At 42.7% G+C, this 24,421-nt stretch overlaps 1 protein-coding gene and 1 non-coding gene across 2 annotated transcripts in view, besides 1 other annotated feature; both read left to right on the forward strand.

Annotated features, from left to right (window-relative positions):
* The window catches only part of SHROOM3 (shroom family member 3), a 348,025-nt gene that overhangs the window by 114,968 nt on the left and 208,636 nt on the right, over window positions 1-24,421 (forward strand). The window contains exon 2 of the mRNA NM_020859.4: window positions 5,413-5,567. Within this exon, the coding sequence (NP_065910.3) occupies window positions 5,413-5,567 (155 nt within the window). The remainder of the gene's footprint in view (window positions 1-5,412; window positions 5,568-24,421) is intronic.
* Window positions 8,514-9,145: an enhancer, noted in NCBI's record as "OCT4-NANOG hESC enhancer chr4:77479863-77480494 (GRCh37/hg19 assembly coordinates)". NCBI's record gives its function as "activates a minimal SCP1, AML or CMV promoter by ChIP-STARR-seq in naive H9 embryonic stem cells {active_cell/tissue: H9 hESC(naive)}" and the evidence as "EXISTENCE:reporter gene assay evidence [ECO:0000049][PMID:30033119]".
* On the forward strand, window positions 23,372-23,436 carry MIR4450 (microRNA 4450). Its single transcript, NR_039654.1, has one exon. It is a non-coding gene; the product is annotated as a microRNA 4450 (primary transcript).

Genomic DNA, 24,421 nt, shown 5'->3' on the forward strand with positions numbered 1-24,421 from the left:
CTGGGAAAGGAGAGAACACCGTGTTTCCTTTGTTGATATTTTCCCAGCCCTAGAATTATGCCTGCCAATGATAGATGCTTAAAAAATACTTGTGAGATGAATGAAAGAATGAATGTGTTCACCAAGTTTCTGACCTCAAAGAGTTTAGGACCTAGAAGAGCAGATAGGGCATGGTCAGAAATACCTATGACAAAGGTAGTGACTGAGGCTTGTCTTAAGACAGAAACCATTAAGAGGAGAGGATGAAATAGATTCTGCCTGGGTTGATAAGGAGACATTTCATAATGGAAGAGTATTTGGAGGAAAAAAGGAGGAAAAGGAAACTAGAAATGTGGGATGGGCCTTCTACAAAAGATCACTGTTGAAGAAAGCTTCTAAAAATCTTCTTTGGTAATAATTAAAACCCCAAGACAGCACAAATCCCTGAGAGACAGTATGGAGAGATGTGAGAATCAAAACATGAAGTAGGGGCCCATGAAATGTTTGACAAATAAGTGCCATTTCAAAAACGTCATCCCATGGCCAGGTGCAGTGGCTTTCATCTGTAATCCCAGAACTTTGGGAGGCTGAAGCGGGAGGCTTGCTTGAGTTCAGGAGTTCAAGACCAGCCTAGGCAACATAGTGAGACCTGTCTCCACAAAAAATAAAAAAATTTCCCCAGGCATGGTGGCACATGCCTGTGATCCCAGCTACTGAGGAGGCTGAGGTGGGAGGATTGCTTGGGTCCAGGAGTTTGAGGCTACAGTGAGTTGAGATCACACCACTGCACTCCAGCTTGAGCAGCAGAGAGAGAACCCTCACTTGGGGGCTAGGATGAATTTTTTTTCGAGACAGGGTCTCCCTCTGTTGCCCAGACTGGAATGAAATGGTGCAATCTTGGCTCACTGCAACCTCAACCTCCTGGGCCCAAGCGATCCTCCCACCTCAGCCTCCTGCATAGCTGAGACCACAGGCATGTGCCACCACATCCGGCTAATTCTAAAAGTGCAGTGCAAAACGAAGAGATTGTGAGGAACTCTGTAAATACAAAAGGTTAAAGAAATAGTTTATAAGAACAGTGAACAACAATGAAACTCTTTATGACAGTCTTCCCCATAATGTTTGCTTTCACATCAAATCAGTCATGAGGACATGATATAAACTATACAAATGAGCTTTCTTGACTTCCTTTTTTAATATAAGAAATTGATTGTTTCCTAGGTCTCATTTCGTTGAAATTGTTGGCAAATAATACTGAAGGGATGCAATTTCACAAACTGCAACATGAGCAAGACCGTATCTACAGTGTTCATCACTGTACTCGCAGCTTTTAGCACCATAGCTGACCACAGTAGTGGCTGTTCATAAATATTTATTGAATGAACGAACCAATATTTTCTGAGTAGGTCCTGTGTGCAAAGCTCTGGAGAGGCATGCTGGGGGAGGAAAGGATGGAGTCATGATTTCTCATGAAGTCTCTTCAATAACTTCACAGTCCAAGGTGGGGAGGGGTGGGACTGTGAGTGGGGAACAGACATAGACATAAATAGCTTTGCTGAAATTCAGGGTGTGTAACCACAGCAGCAAGTTCAAGCAGTATAAAAATAATAAACTATTAGATGTCACTTTACATTTATATATTATTTTGTCCACTTGATTATCTGAAAATGGGAAAAAGAAGAATTATTATTATTATTTTTTTTTGAGACAGAGTCTCGCTCTGTCACCCAGGCTGGAGTGCAGTGGTGCGATCTCGGCTCACTGCAAGCTCTGCCTCCTGGGTTCACGCCATTCTCCTGCCTCAGCCTCCCGAGTAGCTGGGACTACAGGCGCCCGCCATCACGCCCGGCTAATTTTTTGTATCTTTAGTAGAGACGGGGTTTCACCGTGTTAGCCAGGATGGACTCGATCTCCTGACCTTGTGATCCGCCCGCCTCGGCCCCCCTAAATTGCTGGGATTACAGGCATGAGCCACTGCGCCTGGCCTAAATTTTTAATTGTTATTTATAAAATAAAAGCTATTTTATATATATTAAAATAGTATATATTGGCCAGGCACAGTGGCTCATGCCTGTAATCTCACCACTTTGGGAGGCCAAAGTGGGAGGATCACTTGAGCCCAGGAGTTCAAGACCAGCCCAGGCAACACAGCAAAAGCCCATCTCTACAAAAAATACAAAAATTAGCCAGACCTGTTGGCACACGCCTATAGTCCTAGCTACTCAAAAGGCTGAGATGGGAGAATTGCTTGAACCCAGGAGGCTGAGGTTGCAGTGAGCCAAGACTGTGCCACTGCACTCCAGCCTGTGCACCAGAGCAAGAGTCTGTCTCCCAAAATATCTATATATGTATATAGATATATCAATTATATAATATATGTATATAGACATACCAAGCAATTATATATGTATATACATATATCTATATACATATACATTCCTCATTATGTTTGCTATATACATATACATATATATAGATATCTATATATGTATGTAGCTATGTCTGCATATAATTTGTATATGTAATATATGTATATATATAATTGCTTGGTCTATTTTATGTATCTTGAGACCTATTGAAGGTTTTTGAACATGTGGGCAATTCTGGAGAGTAATTACTAAAAAAAGAGAAAATATGGGTGAGGTTTTGTTTACTCAGGTTTTGTTTTTGTTTTCCCCTTTACTTCCCTTTCATTGTTATTGACGTCTATAAGTATCCATTGGCATGTGACCCAGATCGAGCCTTATTTTCCTGTTTCCAAAGCATATGATTAATTTCTAACGTACTACATTACTTACTTGTTTATTATGTTTATTGTTTGCTTCCCCTCCTCTGCCCATTAACTTAAGCATCAGAAGATCAAAAGGTTTTTGTCTATTTTGTCCACTTTTATAGCCCAAGCACTTGGAAAAATTTCTGATGTAAAGCAGGTGTTGAATAACTTTGTTGACTGAATAATAGTGCAGGACATTTTTGTTTTGTTTTGTTTTGTTTTGAGACAGAGTCTCGCTCTGTCGCCTAGGCTGGACTGGAGTGGAGAGCAGTGATGCAATCTCGGCCCACTGCACCTCCACCTCCTGGTTTCTTTTCTTTTCTCTTTTATTTATTTATTTTTTTTGAGACGGGGTCTCGCTCTATCACCCAGGCTGAAGTGCAGTGGCATGATCTCTGCTCACTGCAACCTCCACCTCCCAGGTTCAAATGATTTCCCTGCCTCAGCTTCCCGAGTAGCTGGGATTACAGGCATGCACCACCACACTCAGCTAATTTTTGTGTTTTTAGTAGAGACGGGGTTTCACCATGTTGGCCAGGCTGGTCTCGAACTCCTGACCTCAGGTGATCCACCCACCCCGGCCTCCCAAAGTGCTAGGATTACAGGCATGAGACACCGCACGAGGCCCACCTCGTGGTTTCAAGCGATTCTCCCACTTCAGCCTCCCAACTAGCTGGGATTACAGGTGTGTGCCACCACACCCGTCTAATTTTTGTATTTTTAGTAGAGACAGGGTTTCACCACATTGCGCAGGGTGGTCTTGGACTCCTGAGCTCAGGCAATCCAAATCCACCTGCCTCAGCCTCCCAAAGTGCTGGGATTACAGGCGTGAGCCACTGTGCCCAGCCAGCGTATTTATTTTTTAAGAGCAATATTAGGTTCATAAAAAAAAGACGAATGGAAGGTGCAGATATTTCCCATGTATCTGCTGCCCACACATACACATAGCCTCCCCCACTATCAAAATCCTGCACCAGAGTGATACATTTATTACAACTGATGAACCTACATGGACATCTCCTGTCACCCATAGTTTATAGTAGGTTCACTCTTGGTGCTGTACATTCTATGGGTTTTGACAAATGTACAAGGCATGTGTCCACCACTACAATATCATATCGAATGGTTTCACTGCCCTAAAATATTCTGTGCCACCATATTCATCCTACCCTTCCCTTTAACCTCAGCCACTGCTGATCTTTTTACTGCCTCCCTAGTTTTGCCTTTCCTACAATGTCATACACTTGAAATTGTGTGGTATGTAGCCTTTTCAGACTGGCTTCTTTCACTTAGAAATATGCATTTTAAGTTTCCTTCATGTTGTTTCATGGTTTGATAGCTCATTTCTTTTCAGTGCTGAATAATATTCCATTGTCTGAATGTACTACTTTATGTATCCAATGAATTATAATTTTAGAACAAAAAGTAAGGTAAGAGGAACACAACTTTTTTTTGTTGTTTTTTGTTTGTGTTTTTTTTTTTTTTTTTTGAGACGGAGTCTCACTCTGTCACCCAGGCTGGAGTGCAGTGGCGTGATCTCAGCTCACTGCAAGCGTCGGCTCTTGGGTTCATGCCATTTTCCTGCCTCAGCCTCCTGAGTAGCTGGGACTACAGGTGCCTGCCACCATGCCTGGCTAATTTTTTTGTATTTTTAGTAGAGATGGGGTTTCACCGTGTTAGCCAGGATGGTCTCGATCTTCTGACCCTGTGATCTGCCAGCCTTAGCTTCCCAAAGTGCTGGGATTACAGGCATGAGCCACCGTACCCGGCCAGAGGAACTCAACTTCTAATGTAACCCGTCCCCAACCCCCAGGCCACGGACCATTACAGTGGTCTGTTAGCAACCAGGCCGCACAGTAGGAGTGGATGAGTAAGTGAAGCTTCATTTGTATTTACAGCTGCTCCCCATTGCTCACATAACCACCCGAGCTCTGCCTCCTGTAAGATCAGTGGCAGCATTAGATTCTCACAGGAGCCCGAACCCTATTGTGAACTACACATGCGAGGGATCTAGGTAGCACACTCCTTATGAGAATCTAATGCCTGAAGATCTGTCACTATCTCTCATCGCCCCCAGTGGGACCATCTAGTTGCGGGAAACAAGCTCAGGGCTCCGCTGATTCTATGTTATGCTGAGTTGTATAATTATTTCATTATATGTTATAATGAAAAAATAATAAAGTGCACAATAAATGCAACGCACTTGAACCACGCCAAAACCATCCGCCCACACCCCATCCGTGGAAAAATTGTCTTCCACAAAACTGGTCCCTGGTGCCAAAAAGTTTGGGGACTGCTCTTCTAAAGGGATAAAACAGTTGCCCTGAGTGGACTTTTTGAAGATGTAAAGCAAGGGCTGGGGAGATGTCCTGAGCACCGTGGGATAATGGCCTTTGGATGGAAACTGAGTTCTGTCGTTCATTCAGCTGATGTTTAAGGGCGCCCTCCCTGGGCAGGCAGGGTGCTGGTTCTTGAGGGTGTGGACACCCAGAGCCAGTCCCTGCGCTCTCACAGTTTTCCCTCTGGCTGCAAGCGCTGGGGTGTGGCCCTAGCTGGTCCGTTGGGCTCTGCAGGAGTCTAAGCTGGGCTCGGGATAGCCGGACAGACCCCAGGCCAGGGGAAAGCTCACTCGTGGCTGTCGCATCTCTCCCTCCAAGCAGGTCGAAGAAGGGGGCAAAGCAGACACCCTGAGCTCCAAACTGCAGGCTGGGGATGAGGTTGTGCACATCAATGAGGTGACTCTGAGCAGCTCCAGAAAGGAGGCAGTTTCCCTGGTGAAAGGATCCTACAAGACCCTCAGGCTGGTAGTGCGCAGGTAGGTGGCAGACCCCCACCCTGTCCCTCCTACCACCTCACCCCACCTCTCTCCCTACCCTACCCCACCTCTGGGAAAAGAGCTCGGGGTTGGTAGCTTGGCTTTAAACCTCCATGTATGGATCCTGCCTTTTTTTCTTTTTTCTTTCCTATCTTGTGGGATGTGGGGAGGAAGTGGGGTGAAGACATTTCAGACACTGCTGTCTTTCAGAACACTCATTTCCCAGCAGGTACTGGTTTGTCAGGGATAGACCTCACTGGACTACCTAAATTTTGGGACCTGATGAAAAGTGACACTCATCCCAGATGCGGTCAGAGCTCTAATAAGCTTTTTGTCTGGTGGGACTAGAGAAAGAAATTGGCTTGGAGCTTTCAGTGGCATTTTGGGAACCACACCTGCATCACAGGGTTCTTCAAAACAGGCAAATTCTCTCATTGGTTGTTTTGTTTTCTGGTCTCAATAGTGGTGATTCCTCTGTTGGGAAAGTGTTGGGTTGTGTTTGATTTTAATGCCTTAGCATCAGAAGCTTTGTACTCCCGGGAACCAACCCTTCGTGGAGGAAATTATTTATGGAAAGGGGATGGGAATTGAATTATTTTTTTGATCTCTATTAGTAAGCACTGCTTGAGACATTTTACACATCTTAGCTCATTTAATCTGCACATGAACCCCATGAGATAGCTAATCACTATCCCCATTTTACAGGCAAGAGATTAAATAGGTTACTGGAGGTAGCCAAGCTGATAAGTTGAAAAGCCAGAATAGAATCCAGATTGCCTGATTCTATTTCATGCCACTTGAGCATCATTATCTTGACCTGCTAAGCGCTAGGCCCAAATATTTTGCATATTTGAATATTTCTTCCTTAGATTTCAGCTGCCTCACATAGCAGCTAATGTTACAGTATTTAAGAATGTTCTAGTTGGCTGAGACTTCAGGAGTCATCAATGAAGCCCCACCATTTTCAGGCTGTAGAAAGTAAGCTGGTCTTCCATCATGCCACAGATGGCCTCTTAAAGACCTGCATTAATTCATTTCTCAAATGTTTCCTAAGTGAGCCCATGCTCAGGGGAACAGCAGCTCCTCCCAGCCACAAAAAACACAGCGATGACTGTGGTCCCACTGTGTCTCCAGGCTCTAGTGACTCTCCCTAGTGTGCTGGGCTGTGTCTGGTCTGTCTACAGGGCCATCAACCAGCAATTGCTTCTCTGGTGGTCAGTGATGCAGAGTGGCTCAAAGCATAGGCACCGGATTCAGACAGACCCGGGTTCAAATTCCAGGGCTGTCACCTGTTAGCTGTGTGAGCTTGGCCAAATTACTTAACCTCACTGAAAATTCAATATCCTCATCTTTAAATGAGGATTTAAATATATGTATTTATGCCAAAATATGGCAACAATCTAAGTATCCATGGAGGGACAAACCAAAGAAAATGTGGTGTATATATGTATATGTTTATGTATACACACACACACACACACACACACACACACACACACGAGGAATATTATCCAGCCATAAAAAAAGAAGGAAATCTTGCCATTTGCAGCAATGTAGATGAACCTGGAGGACATTTTGTTAAGTGAAAGAAGCCAGTCACAGAACCGTAAAAACTGTATCTTCTCACTTATACATGGTGTATAAAAAAGTCAAACTCACAGAAACAGAGAGTAGAATGGTGTTTGCCAGGGACTGGGGCACAGGGGAAATGGGGAGATGTTGGTCAAGGGGTACAAACTTTTAGTTATAAGATGAATAAGTTCTGGGGACCTAAGGTAAAACATGGTGACTACAGTTAGTAATACTGTATTGTTTACTTAAAATTTGCTATGAGAATAGATCTTAAGTGTCCTCACTATACACACACACAGGTAACTGTGTGTTGATTAATTTGATTTTTGATTGTGGTAATCATGACACAGTGTGTACATATATCAAATCATCACATTGTACACTTTGAATATATGCAATTTTTGGCAATTATACTTGGGCAATCCAACATACTTTACAAAGTGATTGGAAAGATTAGATGAAACACTCTGAGGTAACAAGAGATGCTGCTGCTATTATTTCTATTATTATTGGCCAACTCTAGGCATAGGCTCATTCCTTGCAGATCCAGATTTCAGTAAAGTAAGCAGTCATCTCAAACATGGGGCTGATGTTTCAAACAGATGGGTAGACAAGCTCAGAACCATGGGGCCATTCCTTGTGTCCAGAGAGTGCTGAAGGTTTTGAACTCACCTTGGCATTGGAACCCAGGAGCCCAGTTTGGAAACACTGGGCATTGATCTGTTGGGTACTAATGGCAGAATCCACACTCCTGATGTGTTTCAACATGACTGTGGTGATAGATTGGCCTCTGGAAAGGGCTGCTCTGTTTCCTGCTATGAAGAATAATCATGGTGGCTTCTGGTAGGCCTTCTAATAGATGGTGATATAAGATTTGAATTACTTCTTCTAGTAGAACCTTTGGAAACAGACAGATATGGGGTTGAAATCTGGTCTGGTTATTTGCAAATTGTGTGACTTTGGGCTCTCTAAGCCCCAGTTTCCTCATTTGTGAAATGGAAATAATCATTCTTACCTTGAAAGGGCATTAGTGAAGTAAGTGTAAGTACACAGTGGATATGCAATATTTGATTATTATTATTCTGGATTAGGCTAGAGAGATGTGACACATGCTAATATGGAGAAGTATTGCCATAATACCATATATGCTGGTTCCCTGGTTATCTGGAGGCCCCCCCTTTCATTCTCTTAGTGAGTTTACAACCATTTAAGGGCTAGTACCCAGCTTACAGGTCCAGAATTGGTCATGACTGTCTCAGACCTTGTGGAATTTAGGAGTGTTAATTCACAGTATCCAAATCACAAGAAACTGAAGGATATAAACCAGAATGCTACTACACTGACTCATTTTGGAAAAGACAACTATAAGTGAAAAGTATGCCATATGGACCAAAAACCAGTATATAGTACTTTATCCCTACAAGAAAACTAAATGGGAAGTCTAATTATGGTCAGGAGTTTGCATAGTGATTTCCAACTCCAAGTGAAGAGAATAGTTCTGTAGGCACCAGTATTTGCTAGGATCCACTCTGATGGCCAGATGGTCCATCTTCCTAATAGGGGCTTGGCTGCCAGGCGGCCAGAGATTCACATCCAGAAGCAAGGGCCCTTTCCCCTCTGGGCCCCAGGGAATCATGCTGCCAACGTTCTCCTCTCCATTTTCATTCTCGTCAACACCAAATCCTCTTCCTGATTGACACATTCTTTCTTTACGTATGCTAATGCAATCGATAAGGTTACTGAGCAGTTCTTGCACTTTCTGCTTCTGGTGTGGGAAACATTTTGTCCCTAAGATGCCTTTTGAATATGTCTTATCTCATCTATTATGTGTTGATTTTTATAGTTGAACTTTCAAAGGAAAAGGAGGCTGCCTTTACATCTGACACATGCTTATAGATGGGGATTATCAACACGCCTCCAGAGACATGGATGGACATTCCTCCCCTACCTTGCAGAGATCCGGGTAGAAGCCTCTTTGCGCTGGATTAATCTGGCTTTGTATTTCGTAGTGCCGTCACTTTCCTGAGAAGTCTTACCTTTATACCTTGGCACACGTCATCGTCCTGAGATTCTGTTTCCTTTGATTTATTGATGCCAGAGTGACTAAGGACATTTCATTTATTAACTTTCTTTTTTTCTATGTGATCTCTATACTTTAAAAAAGACTGGGGTGTCTTCCTGGAAACATAATAGGAAGGAATGTCTGTTTCATGAATAAATCATTTGTGTAGTCAAAATGTATATTTTGGCAGCCATGTACCTGCCTCTTTTTCTCTTAAAGTTATTTTGGCTGGGCGAGGGCGGCACCTCATGTCAGGCTTTCACATCCATCATAAAAATGCCAAGAACACAGAGCAGGGTAATAGTGTTTATATAAGTTTTGGGATTGTCTTACCCAGTGACCAAAAACAATAAAAAGTAGAAACACCTTCTTAAAAGGCTACAGTGACAAGAAAAATGCAAAGCCTCAAGTAAGTTGTGGGTCAAAGACTTTCAAAGATCTGCTGACCCATAAAGAAGGCAGAGTTTAGCCCTCTCTGGGAGGAGGGCGTGAAGGAGGCGCTGTGGACGCTGCAACAACAGAGCATGTGTCTGCTGCTTGATACACGAAGAGTGAAGGTTAACAGCTAGTAGTGGATAAATGGAGAAGAAATGATAAAATAATAAGTGGGTCAGAGAAAAAACATTCCCAAAGGAAAATAAACAGCTCCCAGTTGCAGAAAACCCTTGTGGAATGCAAGGACAGTGCAAAGGATGTTAATTAGGAAAGCAGACATGGACACGAATGAGAATCATACTCCAAATCCTCCCTGAAATCAACAGAGACTTTATCTGGTAGATACGTGTAAAATAGTTGTCCAGGGATCGGGTAACCTTTAAAATGGAAACTGACAAAGGAAAGGGTCTTCAGGTTTAATTTATCATCCCTGAGGGTAATGGAAGTTGCGTTTAGTATAAGGAATGCTCACTGCTATTTGTAGATAATCTAAAACTTGAATTTAAAAAATAGGAAGCTATATTTGACCTCCAGAACAGATTGCTGGGGTTAATTGCTGTGTATTCATATAAATACATATTTTTACCCTGAGTTCAGACTCAGACTCCTATCCTGAATTGGATTATCAGAATGGCCTTAGAATCAATGAATCCTTAATCCCAATTCTGATCTTTTCTCCATTTTCCTTGGCAAATCTAACCTTCCAACCTTCTGCATTAAGGTGCTATTTATTTTGTTTATTTACTTATTAATCCTTCATTAATCAAAAGAAAGCTGGAGGTGCTATTTTTGCCAAATACTATCCTACTCCTAAATTTGTTGTAAGTGAATTTTTTGTGTTTTTACTTGTAGTTGGCAAAGAAAAACTTGAGTATATTTCATTTCAAATATTTCGTACTTTTTTATAATGCTATGCAAGCCAGGCAAAAGTCAGAGAGGATACCTGAGATAGCGGTGTCCAGCACTACCAGATTTGAGACTGCCTGGGTTTGAAGTCTGATGGCATAGGCACTAGCTTTGTGACCTTGGGCAAGTAATTTAATCTGTCTGATTTTTGCCTCACAAAATTGTTGTGAGGATTAAATAAGAATCATGTGGGTATGGTATTTAGTACAGTTATTAAATCATGAATCTACTGAAAACAAGTTGCATATTTGTTAAGTAAATTATCTCTTTGACAAGTTCCACCTTAATCTCTAGAACACAGCATATGAAGTCCTAGTTAATGGGAAGACTTTGGTGGGGAAATTATCTTTCTGGGCATCAAAGAGAGCAGAGGGTAGGGAAAATTGAGCCCCTTTTCAAAATGGAATCTTCCTCCCAAAGCTTTCCATCACCTCTGCAAGTTTGATGTAACCTTTCCCCTTCCCATCAATTTATTCTATGAGTTGATGTGTTGGAAGGAAACAATTCTTTTTTATTTGGCTGAATATACGTGTTTAGTAGTACTAGTAGTAGTAGTATCAGTGGTAGATCACATTTTGCTGGGAAAAGAGAGATTGAGGAGAAAGCAGCATTGAAAAAGTAAAAAACAATAAACATCTGCCTAAAATATGTATATGCCAGGCTATATGACTTGCCCATGTAGAGGTGGCTAGCGTGAGAATCTAGGCTAGAGTGAGAATCTAGGTCTTAAGACTTTCAGCCCTTGAGTCTCTGCCTGGAGGTAGAAATGAGGGAAATGCATCCAAAAATAGGTAAGGACTTGTCCAAGGCCACATACTAGTGGCCAAAATAAGAGTCTAGTTCTTCGAGGATGTAAGTCTTAGGGACTTTTGGCCCCTCAAGCAGTGAAATCATGAACTAGTGCTTTCTATTCCACTGCCTCCTCCTTTTAGAAATATCTGTGATGCTAAAAAAAAAAAAAAAAAAAAAGAGAGAGAGACAAAAGACAAGGCCGGGCATGGTGGCTCACGTCTGTAATCCCAGCACTTTGGAAGGCAAAGGCAGGCAGGTCACCTGAGGTCAGGAGTTCGAGACCAGCCTGGCTAACATGGTGAAACCCCGTTTCTATTAAAAATACAAAAAATTGTCCAGGAGAGGTGGCGTGCCCCTGTAATCCCAGCTACTCGGGAGGCTGAAGCAGAAGAATCGCTTGAACCTGGGAGGCGGAGGTTACGGTGAGCCAAGATCCCGCCATTGCACTCCAGCTTGGGCAACAAGAGCGAAACTCTGTCTCAAAAAACAAAACAAAAAAAACCCTCAAAACAATAAAAAAACAAAGAAGCTTATGTTTGATTCATCTAAGAAAACATTTTGAATGAAGAGGTGATTCCCCATTGACCTTGAACTTCCTTTGGGAAGGAAATGCACCGGACTACTTTGGATGCCCAGCAGACTTGAGTCTCTGCAGCAGCCTCTGGAAATGAAACTCTGGGCTGCATTAGTGGCTGCTTCCTCCCTCCTAACAAAAATGGTGATGAAATTAAGTTCACCAAGACCCTTGGGCCCACACTCCCCCGAATTCACCGTCCCATGTTTCTGAGGGTTAACAGAATAGTTTCTTTTTATAAACTAGTGAGATGACATTATTAGAATGGAATGGGATGGTTGGCTGACACACTTGCTACCTCAGTGTCAGATTTCTGTGACCTTATATTTCTAGATTGAATTGCAAGACTGTAACTCACCCAGGATTTGCAAGTCAATGATCTTAAAAGAAATACTTTGTAATGAACTTTTTTAAGTCCTCTGAAAGGATACAAAATTAACTCTATTAGCTATTAATAAAAAGGGTTGTGCAAATCAGTGCCTTTTCCAGCTCATGGTTACAGTTTATAAAAGAAAATAATTTCTTGGAATATTTTCACTACCACCTCCTCACTTCCTTCACACTGTTTTGCCACCTCTCCACCCCCTCACCTGCCTGACTCTATTTCCTGAAAAAGCATCTACATTCTTAAAGCAGTTTGAGATTAACCACCTGATGTCTCTTTCTGACTCTTTTAAAGCAGTTTAAAGAAGCAATTTATTAAAAGCTTTAAAAGCAAATGGAACAGAACTCCCTATTTTTAAGGCAATAAAGTTGACAGGAAGGGTTGAAACTTTTCTAGAACATAAAAAGCATATTTTTTTCTTATAAATTGACAATCTGCAAGCCAGATTGTGTAGCACGAAGGTGCCAATTCTCAGATATGAAATTGCAAACAGCATGAGGAAGACATTATATCATCTGGATTCCAGTCTCAGTTCTGCTGTGGTCTGGCCATCATACCACGGTGCTACTCAATCTCTCTAAGACTAAATTTCTTCTTAAAATGGAGGAGAACAGTTCCATACTGAGTTGCTATAAGGATGAAATAAGATAGTATATATAAAATGTTTCATCATAGTAAAATATTAATCTTTATTTCATAAGGAGCTTCTATTGTACAGTCTCATGAAAAGTTACCTGACCACATTCTCTGATGATTGCTCTATTTAATGGCACTGATTTGACTCATTTTTGTAAATGAGAACACATAGGTTTTAAAGCTTCTGATTATAACCTTTCTGCTAAGAGGAAATGTGGCTTTAAAGGACAGTACCAACTAGGCCCAAGTTCAGAATGGGATTTTGTAAAAAAGGCCATATTCTCTGGCGAACGTAAGTTGAAAGAGTTCTAACTTTGAACCATGTTGAAGCTCATTGGTGGAAGGTTGAGCTCCAGGAGAGGAAGCTCGGATTGCAGGAAGGGGCTCTCTACGCAAGTGTATTTGCACCATCTGGTGTTTTTTTGTTCCAAGGACTGGTCAGGTTATATAGGCACATGTGACCCAGGCTGAGCAATTTGAAAACATAATGTTCTTTAGACAGCACAATATGCTGCCTCTGGGAAAGTTATGACATCAAAAGATAACTATCAAGTGGGCAGGCAGTGGGAGGTGAGGACAAACAGAAAAGGTGCAGTGACCTTTTTATAGGCAATTGCAAAACTGGTCTTGAAGCTCAAGGAACTCACCTCTGTGCATAAAAGTGTGGCTTCCTCTACCTCTCCTGGACACAGAAGACAAATGAGAAATATTTCTGTGCCATGGTAAGTTCCAAGAACTGACTTTCAAGACACAAAAAAAGGCCCGATGCTGTGCTCTGTGGTTAACTCCTGTATGAAGGGGCAGGAAGGCAGTGTGTCCCCACCACGTGCCACAGGAGGAAAGCACAGGAGCTGAAGTGGCAGCCAGCATGGCAGGCAGTACCACTCTATGGTTCTGTGTTAGGAGCGTCTCGTGTCTGAAATGTTACCTCTCACCTCCACATGTCTCCTGAAGAGCTGTGACCACCCTCCCATGCCCCGCTCTGCTCTCCCTTCATTACTTCACTCATCCTGGTCATCTGCTCTTTGAAGTTCTTAATTTGGGCAAAGGGCTGGCAGATGCCTGGGACATGAGTACAAATCCCAAACTGCACTTCCGTTTGCACCCAGGATGAGACTTCCCTAGAGGGGAGATCAGTATAACTGAGAACTGTGGTAACTTACCCTTCTAAACATTTTTTCCACTTGAGCAAGTGGTTGAGAGGAGAGGAAGGAGGCAGCTGCAGTGGCCTCTGACCCCCAGAAACTTTTCCAAGAGGCCTGGCATCATGGAAATTTGCTCAGTATGCTTTGAGGAGGTATTTCAATCCTGCTGGGACCATTCTCAGAGCAGTTTTCGGCTTCTTTGGACTTCTAGGCTTGAATGTCACTGTATAGAAGTATAGTATTTTATTTCCTAACCAGTTGTTCCTTCCCATGGAAAATTCATGTAACACATTATTAGGTTTCCTGAGAGGTATGCAATAAGACTCCCTTACTGTAATGAGGAAGGGGACATCTTTTTCCCCCGTAGCACATAATGATAACTGCTATTTTTATTCAATGGGTTACATATGCTTACTGGCTATGCACTAAACACTAGCTTCATACAAAGGAATGTTCTATTGTTCCTAGTGAAGGAGGTTTGATGATAAAAGACCACATTTCATTCTTGGGCTAGCACAGCTTTACTTCAGACAAATGTATTCCAGACAGGAGCCAACCTTCTATACCATTAAAGAATTAATGAATGCACCATTAAAGAATGGCACTCAAGGCTGGGTGCGGTGGCTCATGCCTGTAATCCCAGCACTTTGGGAGGCTGAGGCTGGCAGATTATGAGGTCAGGAGTTCGAGACCAGCCTGGCCAACATAGTGAAACCCCATCTCTACTAAAGATACAAAAAATTAGCCGGGTGTGGTGGTGGGTGCCTGTAATCCCAGCTATTAGGGAGGCTGAGGCAGGAGAATCGCTTGAACCCAGGAGGCGGAGGTTGCAGTGAGCTGAGATTGCACCATTGCACTCCAGCCTGGGTGACAGGGCGAGACTCCATTTCAAAAAAAAAAAAAAAAAAAAAAGAATGGCACTCAAATATCTGTCTGAGCCTTTAGGATATGAGGTCTGAGTTCTGAGATCAAATAAAAGTTATGGTGGAATCTTTCCCCCCAGTTTTAAATTTGGATGCATCAGCTAGGACAGGTAAGTTTGGATGAGTCCCATTTAGAAGATGAACCAAATATTTGGAACTCTGAATACTTGAATCAAAATGGCTTAAAGCTACTCCTTCTTAAATTGGGCTACACATTGGAATTACCAAGGGAGTTTTAAAACAGCAATAACAACAACAAACTAATTCCTGGCTCCTACCTCCAGAAATTCTAATTTATTTTATTTTACTTGTTTTTTGAGACAAGATCTTACTCTGTTGCCCAGGCTGGAGTGCAGTGGCATGAACACAGCCTTGACCTTCTGGGATCAAGTGATCCTCCTACTTCAGCCTCCGGAGTAGCTGGGACTACAGGTGCACACCACCACACCCAGATAATTTTTTTATTTTTTGTAGACAGAGTCTCGCTTTGTTGCCCAGACTGGTCTCAAATGATTCCCACCTTGGACCTCCCAGAGTATTGGGATTACAGGCGTGAACCTCCAAGTCCAGCCTCAGAGAGTCTAATTTAATAGATGTGGGGGTGTAGCCCTGTATTGGAAACTTTAAAAGCGCCTCAAGAAAAAGGCTGGGTGCAGTAATCCCTATAATCCCAGCACTTTGGAAGGCCGAGGCAGGAGGATCCCTTGAGTCCAGGTCTGCCTCCAGACCAGCCTGGGCAACATTGCAAGACCCTGTCTCTACAAAAACTAGCCGGGCATGGTGGTGCGTGCCTGTAGTCCCAGCTACTCAAGAGGCTGAGGCAGAAGGACTGCTTGAGCCAGGAGATTGAAGCTGCAGTGAGCCATGATCGGGCCACTGCACTCTAGCCTGGGCGACAGAGCAAAACCCTGTCTCAAAAAAAAAAAAAAAAAAAAAATCAAGAAAAAACAATGGATGGTTCATCTGTACTGAAAATGTACAGCCTTTTTTTCTTGTCATTCTTCCCTAAACAATACAACAGTGATTCACGTAGCATTTACATTATATTAGGTAGGATAAGTAATCCAGAGATGATTTAAAGTATACAGGAGGAAGTGTATAGGTTATATGCAAATATGACATCATTTTATACAAGGGACTTAAGAATCCATGGATTTTGATACCTATGAGGGGGTCCTGGAACCAATCCCCCATGAATGCAGAGCTACAACTGTATTCATTTATTTCATCAGCCCCCATGTTTCAAAAACCACACTTTGTATACCCTTAGCATAAATCCCCCATTTCTTGAGAATGAGGGGTAGAGAAATGGTTTCCATAAAGGATTGTTAAATACCACCCCCTCCACATATCCTTAATGGAAAATCAGATCTTCGAAGGTCCTGGCAAGCTTTGTCCTGTTCTGTTTTTCTGTTTTATTTAATTTAACTGCTCTAAGATCACAAGTGTCCCATGAAGGTCCTGGAGAAGAATCTTAAAGTATAGGTTTGTGGGTTACTGAGAGCAGTAGTAGGCTCTTAGACTTCATTAGGCAAAGAGAAACACCTGGTTCCATCTGACTTGAGATGAACTGTGGGTTCTTTTTCCTTTGATCATTGTTTATTAAGATGGCTACCTCAAATATGTATTTTTTACCACCTGTCTCCTCATGGTTCTGTTGCTTTGGGCATCTTCGCATGTGGCAGCTCTGAAGAGCCTCATTAGTCGTTGGCAAAATTATGTCTCTAAGACTAGCGTCTTTGTGCTTTTGCCAGTAGCTAAAATGTCTGTTTAATTGTATTACCTAGTCTAGAGGCCCGTGCCGCTGTCTGTAGACCAGCTGCCAGATTGCTTAGTACAGTTTGTCAGTGCATTTGAAAAACGCAATTTTTCTACTCCCCTCTTATTCTGCTGTCAAACTCTAGTCTGATGCTGCGTTTGCTTAGTGGGTGGGATGTGTAAAATTATACATGTGGGGACAGTTGCTTGGTTAGTGTGTTTATTGTTTACGTAGGAAGGTTGCTATGTTGTTTTCATGAAGACTGTGATTCTAAGGAGCATTTTTAAAAGATTCTTTGGGTGCCAGGCGCGGTTGCTCATGCTTGTAATTCCAGCACTTTGGGAGACCGAGGTGGGTGGATCATTTGAGGTCAGGAGTTCGAGACCAGCCTGGCCAACATGGTGAAACCCCGTCTCAGCCGGGTGCGGTGGCTCATGCCTGTAATCCCAGCACTTCGGGAGTCCAAGGCGGGTGAATCATGAGGTCAGGAGATCAAGACCATCCTGGCTAACACGATAAAACCCTGTCTCTATTAAAAATACAAAAAATTAGCCGGGCGTCGTGGTGAGCGCCTGTAGTCCCAGCTACTTAGGAGGCTGAGGCAGGAGAATGGCGTGAACCCGGAAGGCAGAGGTTGCAGTGAGCTGAGATCGTGCCACTGCACTCCAGCCTGGGCAACAGAGCGAGACTCCATCTCAAAAAAATTAATAAATAACTAAAAAGATTCTTTGGAATGTTTCTTTAAAGGTGTCTCTTAGGGATGAGCCACTATTATTTTTTGATTGTAAATAAGTAGGGGCCCACAAGCCCTGGACACCTAAAACAATCTTTCATGGAATTTTCTCAGGACACATTTTGTATGTCCTTCACCCTCATAACTTAAAGAAGCGAACAATTGAAGAGACCCATTGTTTTTTACTGGTGGTTACATGGTACTGAACGTTTTTTTTTTTTAACTAAATTAAAAATCTCCTCAATTATCCCCTCTGACTTGCTCCCTCACTTCCTTCAGGTATTTGCTCAAATGTCAGCATCCCCTGCAGAGTCCATTTTACATCGCAGTCCCCTTTCTCCTGTATCCTCACACCCTTCTAATCTTTATTTTTTACCTGTCTCTCTGTCACACATACTAGAATATAAGTTCTTCGATGGCAGGGATTTTGTTCGGTGTGGTATCCGCAGTGCTTGGAATGGTTCCTGGCACACAAATGTGCTCACTGAATATTGGTGAGCCAGCTCCAAGCCAGGCTGCCTGACATTGCCTCTCAGCTTTACAACATTTACTACTGAGGGCCCTTGGACAAGTTAATTGCCCTGTGCCATGGTTTCATGACTTGTAAAGTGGGGATAGTAACAGTTTCCCCTTCACGGGTATAATAAATTGCTGTCTAAATCTTGGCTGTTTTTAATTACATCATCAAATAGCGTTAGTTATTTTTCCTGCATTAAGAGCTGCTGGACAGGCAGTCTGCACTTATCTTCACTATCCTTCTATTCCCTATGGAATATGGTCAATAGTTTCATCACTTAACTGACCACACTTTTCTCCTGTATCCCCCACCAAAGAAGGATCATATTCGAAGTTTGTTTTCCCCTCTGTGAAATGAGATCGACCTAATTTCCTCCTGCCTTAATGCCCCTGTGTATCTTCTTAGTAAGGTAGCCTGTCCCCAGCCCTTGTTCGGGAGTGAGGTCCCCAGGAGCCTGGCTTCAGGGGTGCTTCTTGTAGCAGGACCCACCCTTCTCTCTGTCCTCAGCTTCCTCAAGTCTCACTGGAATAGGTACTCTTTGCAGTCACCTTGTTATTTGGAGGTTTGGATTTGTTTCTACTACTCCCACCTCCTACCCCTCAGGGAGCAGTGCTGTGCAGCGGTTAGGAGCACTGGCTTTAAATCTGATAGAATTTGGTTTACAACCCTGCCCGTTCTGTGAGATCTTGGCCAGTGACTTCACCTCTCACTTTTTTATCTGGGAAGTAAAGACAACCATCCACACTTCATATGGAGGTTGTAGCCATAAAGACAACCTGTGTATAGAAAAAAAACTCAGCCTTGGGTTTGGCACACTGTTATCAATCATCTCATTCATAAGTTCAACCATAGTTATTGAGCAGGTGCTGGCACCAGTTCTCAGCATATATGTGCTGAATGGAGGCATTTCTATTTTTCACTAAGTAGTTTTCCATACTGTTAGCTGTTTTATGAGTAAAAGAACAGATCCAACCGAGGAGGGTTTGGGGCTTACGTTTCTCACCAGTGAAAGTTAAACTAAAATTAGACCGAAATCCAATTTGTCAGGGGGGGAAATAAAGCAATGGGAAAAGGTGACTTGCTAATAACGATGGATATAAAACTTTAGTACGGGGTGGATGGGTGAGAGGTCACTGGCAAGGCTCCTCTCCTGACCTCCAGAGGGGTCATTTTGGAGAAACTGCTGCCTGCTTTATGAAGGTCAAAGCACCCAGAAATGAAAGGACTTAGCCTCAGGTCACAGGTCTAGTAAACCACAGAATGAGGAAGAGAAGTCAGGTTTTCTAGCACCAGCCAAGCCTGCTCTCTCAGGGCATACATAAAAATAGAAAACTCCAAAAGCCAGAGCTCCTTTTTGCCTTAATCTTATATTTTCTTTCTTACTGGTGGTAGGAAATGGATAATTTGGGATGTTCATGTTTTGTTAGATGATTCTCCCTTCTCTCTCTCACACATCTTTCCAGTTTTCCTAGTTTTCCAGTTTTCTTCCTATGACAGTTTTTTTTTTTTCCCCTCAAAGTGTGGTCTTTAGACAACTTGCATCAAAACGGCTGTGGTGTCTATTTAACTCGCAAATCCTTTGTACCTCTTCCTACATAAGACTGTCTTGAGGGAAGCCTGCCTTTTAACAGATGCCAACACCCACTGAAACTTGCAGCCTCTAGCCCTAAGGGAGTGGACATGCTCTTCTCTGGCTGGGTGAGGTCAACCCCATGAATCTTTCCTGCCTCATTGGCCCATGTAAGAGACAAAAGGATGAGATCAGTGTCCATTTGAGCAACTCCGTGGTTATTCTTCAAAGTCTCTAGCATCGTGCCTTTCCTTGGCCTTGATATATAGGTAAAGTTCAAAATTCAAATTTTCTACTTCAAATAAAGTTTGGGGATGGTTTTTATTTCTGTGAACTCCTTCAGAAACATTTTAGAACACAACCCAAATGCTCAGAAATGTTAAAACACACACACACACACACACACACACACGCACACCAGTACTTCTCAGCCTGCCACCTTTCCAAGGGCAGAGCAACCTGCAGCAGTTTCTAAAAATAGACCTTTCTGCTACAGGTCACTAAGCAGGAATGGCCTCCATGTCACTCTGTTTACAGTTTCACATCTGACACCTTCATAACAACTGTGCTGACTTGATGAGGCATGAGGACCAACATCAGTCTGTGGGAACTCCTGAGAAAATGCAACCTGGGGCTGTGGCTGGTGTGCAATCGGTGGCATCCCCACAAAATCCAGCCGTGTTTGGATTCAAGGCCCTTTCAACCTTTGTTTGCCATTCCTCGTCACCTTTCCATCACTGTCTCAAAGTCAGGGGCAGAGGTCAAAAACTCCGAGTCACTCCATGAGGTAGCAATGAATATAAACATGAGCTCATGTTCAGGAATTTAAGACTCACCGTGTTTTCTTTCGTTTTGTTTAATCTGTCTTGCATTTCTCCTCTTTGCAAACTTGTGGGTTTACAATGCATCATCTAGCTGCAAATTTAATTTTAGGCTCTTTCAAGAAAATGCTCAGAAAAGGCGAACTTATCTTTGCTATATTCAGGACAGCCCTGCAACAGTGAGGGCTGTGTAATAATTCATGCACATTCCCGTCCCAGTCCCTAAGTGTGCAGACTACGTGGGTGGTATTAGAATTAAAATTTCTTGGGATTAACATTCTAAAATTAAGAAATGGGGTCAAAGAATGGGGGCACTTGACACTAAATGTACATGAGGTGATTGGACTGGATTACTGAGCATTCACAGTCATAGGATTCCTAGTAAGTTCTGAAGAAGTGGACCAATTGTTATCAGTTTAGGATCCTACTTACAGGAATCATTTTTGATTTGCAAACTTAGCCTGCTATCTTTAAATAAATAATTTTAGTAAGCTCTCAAAATGTTAGCTTTGGGTGGGTGTCTAAGCATTTTCATTCTTTGATTTATTTCTCACAACACCAGTAATAGGGATTATTACTACTCTATTTTACAGACGAGGAGATAGACTTGCAAGAGGGCAGTCTTATCAAGGGGATACATGTGTTAAGTGTGAATTTAAACTCCAGTCTATCTGATACAAAAGCCCAAGCTTTTACATCAGTAAAAACTAGTTCAGTTGAGCTGGTTTTCAGTGATTGCTGAAATCCCTGAACCAATATGGGTTCTTCAGCCTCTGGGAGAAGAGGAGTTGGGCTTGGCCAATGCTTTTATTTGCTTTGCTTTAAAGAAAGCACACACTGGGCCCTTTTGTTTTCCCAGCAGTGTTGATTCACGTTCACTAAATAAATTAGCCTTCCCGTGTTGTCTCACTCATTTGACATTAGCAAGTTTACATGCCAATAAAAATAGAAATGGGAGAAACAATACTGCAAGAAGAGAGAAGTGGCAGAGGCGTTAGAGTGCACCAAGACATGAACACAAGCTCATCATTTTCTACACTCCTTTCAAAACAAAACAAAGCAAAACCCCACAGCTTGATTCCAATCACAGTTTGTTCTGTGATTTTATGTGGTTGAAATGCCTGATTAATACTGAAATGTTGTAACATTCATTATTTTGTAAGAGAATAGTTGAGACTTCCAATAAGATTTTATCATTTCTCTTCCAAATAGTGGAAGCCTGATAAATGATGTTAGGATTCTGTACTAGTCTTACTAGTACTTATTCATAGATCTAGAAGTCTCTGTGTCCATTGTGAGATGGGCTGTACGTGGGTCAAATACAGCTTCTGAAGAAGTTGAGATTTGTCTTTGTGCTCTGCTATTAACAGCATCCTAATGAAGCACTCAAGCTACTCCCATCTTCTCTCTGCTTCCTCCATACTGCGCCCCCCAGCCCAATCTCCCTAAAATCTTTCCTTCCTGAGAATTGTTCCTCCATATCTGCCTCTTTCCTGGATCCTCATCCAAACTTGCCTTTGCATTTCTTACTCCCTCAGAGCCTTGCTAGGAGATGATTTGCTAATCTTTGACATGGCTAAGAATAGTAAATGTCCTTTGAGAACAATACAATCTTGCACTAACATACAACGGGAATAATAAAGTTACTATTCATATTTTAAAGGGCAATTTTGCAGGTTGTCAACATCTTACCCTAAAGGAGTGAGTTCCCAATGGTGTAATCTCAGTGACAAACTGTATACCGTGATAGGTGACAGGACCTTCAGGTCATGGGCAGAAAGTGATCTTAATAAAGGCTGACCTTGGCCACTGCAGCCTGCATGTTCTGGGGCATCCTGAGGTCTCCCTGTGTGACTGACACTTCCCCTGAGGACTATTCCCAGTGCAGTCAGTAGGAAACCTTAGTGGTCAATGATGGTGGGCCAGGGAGGTGAGGGACAGAGGATGTGTCAGATATCCTAATAGTATATACAGTTTAAAGACTCATTTCATAATTTTGGGAGTTGTTTTCTAGGGATATTGTGATCGTTCAAATGTAAATATCTGCATCTTGAATATACTGGAAAAAAGTGATTGGCATGTTTTAGGGGCAGCTCTAGCAGTATAACAGTGTACGGGTTTGCCCCTTTATGGTTTGTGGGTAGGAAGAGATTTATTCTGAACTAGTTTTCTCTGCTACCCAACTGCTTATGAAATATGAACACAGGCTGGGTTCAGTGGCTCAAGCCTGTAATCCCAGCGCTTTGGGAGGCCAAAGCAGGTGGATCACTTGAGGTCAGGAGTTCGAGACCAGCCTGGTCAACACGGTTAAACCCTGTCTCTACTAAAAATACAAAAGATTAGCCAGGTGTGGTAGCACACGCCTGTAGTCCCAGCTGCTTGGGAGGCTGAGGCAGGAGAATTGCTTGAACCCAAGAGGAGAGGTTGCAGTGAGCTGAGATTGCACCACTGCACTCCAGCCTGGGTGACAGAGCTAGACACTGTCTCAAAAAAAAAATAAAAAAGAAAAAAGAAAGAAAGAAATATGAACACAAGCTTGAAACTCAATAAAATTGAGATTTAGATCTGTCACTTGCCCTCAACAGGCACAACAAGGTAAGGTGGCCAGATTTAACAATTAAAAATACAGATGTCCTATTAAATTTGAATTTCTGATAATCATTGAATTTATTTTAGTCAAAGTAGGTACCCAATTTTATCTACCAAACCTAGTCACATGACAATTTAGATGTATAGAAAAAAATGTAGGTTCCTTGTCTTCCTTACAAACCCACTTCTGCTGGTTGGCAATAATAATAATAATAATAATAATAATAATAATAATAATAATAATAATTTTTATTCCTGGCCAAGTTAAAAGCTCACCTGGTCCAATCAATTTGAATAGTCCCTTAAGGGGCTCAGTCTGAAATAAAATCCTCCCTTGCTCAGATGTCATCTTTTTTCTCCACTGCCCAGCTGTCTTGCTAAACAGTGTCTGGGGATTTGGAGAAGTGGTGAGCGCAGGTCTTTGGCACCATCTCCCCTGGTCCCTTGGCTCTGTCCATAGCCTTCCCAGCCACTGCTGGCCTCCAACGCTGAATCCTGCAGCTGGTAAATCCATGGTCAGCCATGGCCTGGGCAATGCCCCTGGGATTGCTGGCAACCCCACACTTACAGATTCAGTCTCTGCTCAGCTCCCCTTAGCTTCAGACAACTTAGCATCTGCCAAACTCTCATCCCAGCAACTCCTGACCCAGGGCCCATCCTAGGATCATCTCACCCCACCATAGTTGCCTCCTTGCAAGTCTGCTGGTTGCCGTCTGATGTCTGAGATTCTTCCTTCTGTCTGGACCTCTAGAGACCTCGAAATTGAGCCAGGCCAGACCTACTCCAGTGACCTTCTCCTAGGGTCTCAAATGGTGCAGTGGAGCCAGGGTTCCCTGAGCCCTTTGACATTCTCCTCACTTAGCTCACACACTTTCCCTCTCCTCCCTGAGGCTAGAAGAGAAATCAGAACTTGGTCCTCACAGCTTGACTTGCCACCATCTTTTCCCTCATTTCCACAAGTTGCTGGGATCTTGAGGGCTGGGTTTTCTCACTATTTCTCACTCTTCTCTGTGCTTCCCTACTTCTATAACTTCAAGCTTCTTGTCTTAGTTGGGAGGGGTATCTTCTTTGCACGATGGGAAAATTTTGGCAATTAGAATCCTCTAGGCCTCACCCTGGATAGGTTACAATGGTTGTCAAAAGTGTGATCATGCCCAGGAACTTCTGGAAAATACAAATTCCCAGGCCCTGCTCTAAGCCTAATGAATTGGGAACTCTGGAGTTTGAGCCTAGCAATCTGATTTACCAAGTCTTCCCCATGATTCTGATGCACCCTAAAGAACCATGGCATTAAATATTTCAGCAAATTCTCTCTCTCCCTCTCTACCAACGCCTTTCTTACCATTTTTCATGCCTAAACTCTTATTAGACAGACCGGATACTCCCTCTTAATCTAATTGATTGATTAGCTACATAAACTCAAATCATTTTGTGA

Source organism: Homo sapiens, chromosome 4 (assembly GCF_000001405.40).
Source record: "Homo sapiens chromosome 4, GRCh38.p14 Primary Assembly".
NCBI classification, from domain to species: Eukaryota; Metazoa; Chordata; class Mammalia; order Primates; family Hominidae; genus Homo; species Homo sapiens.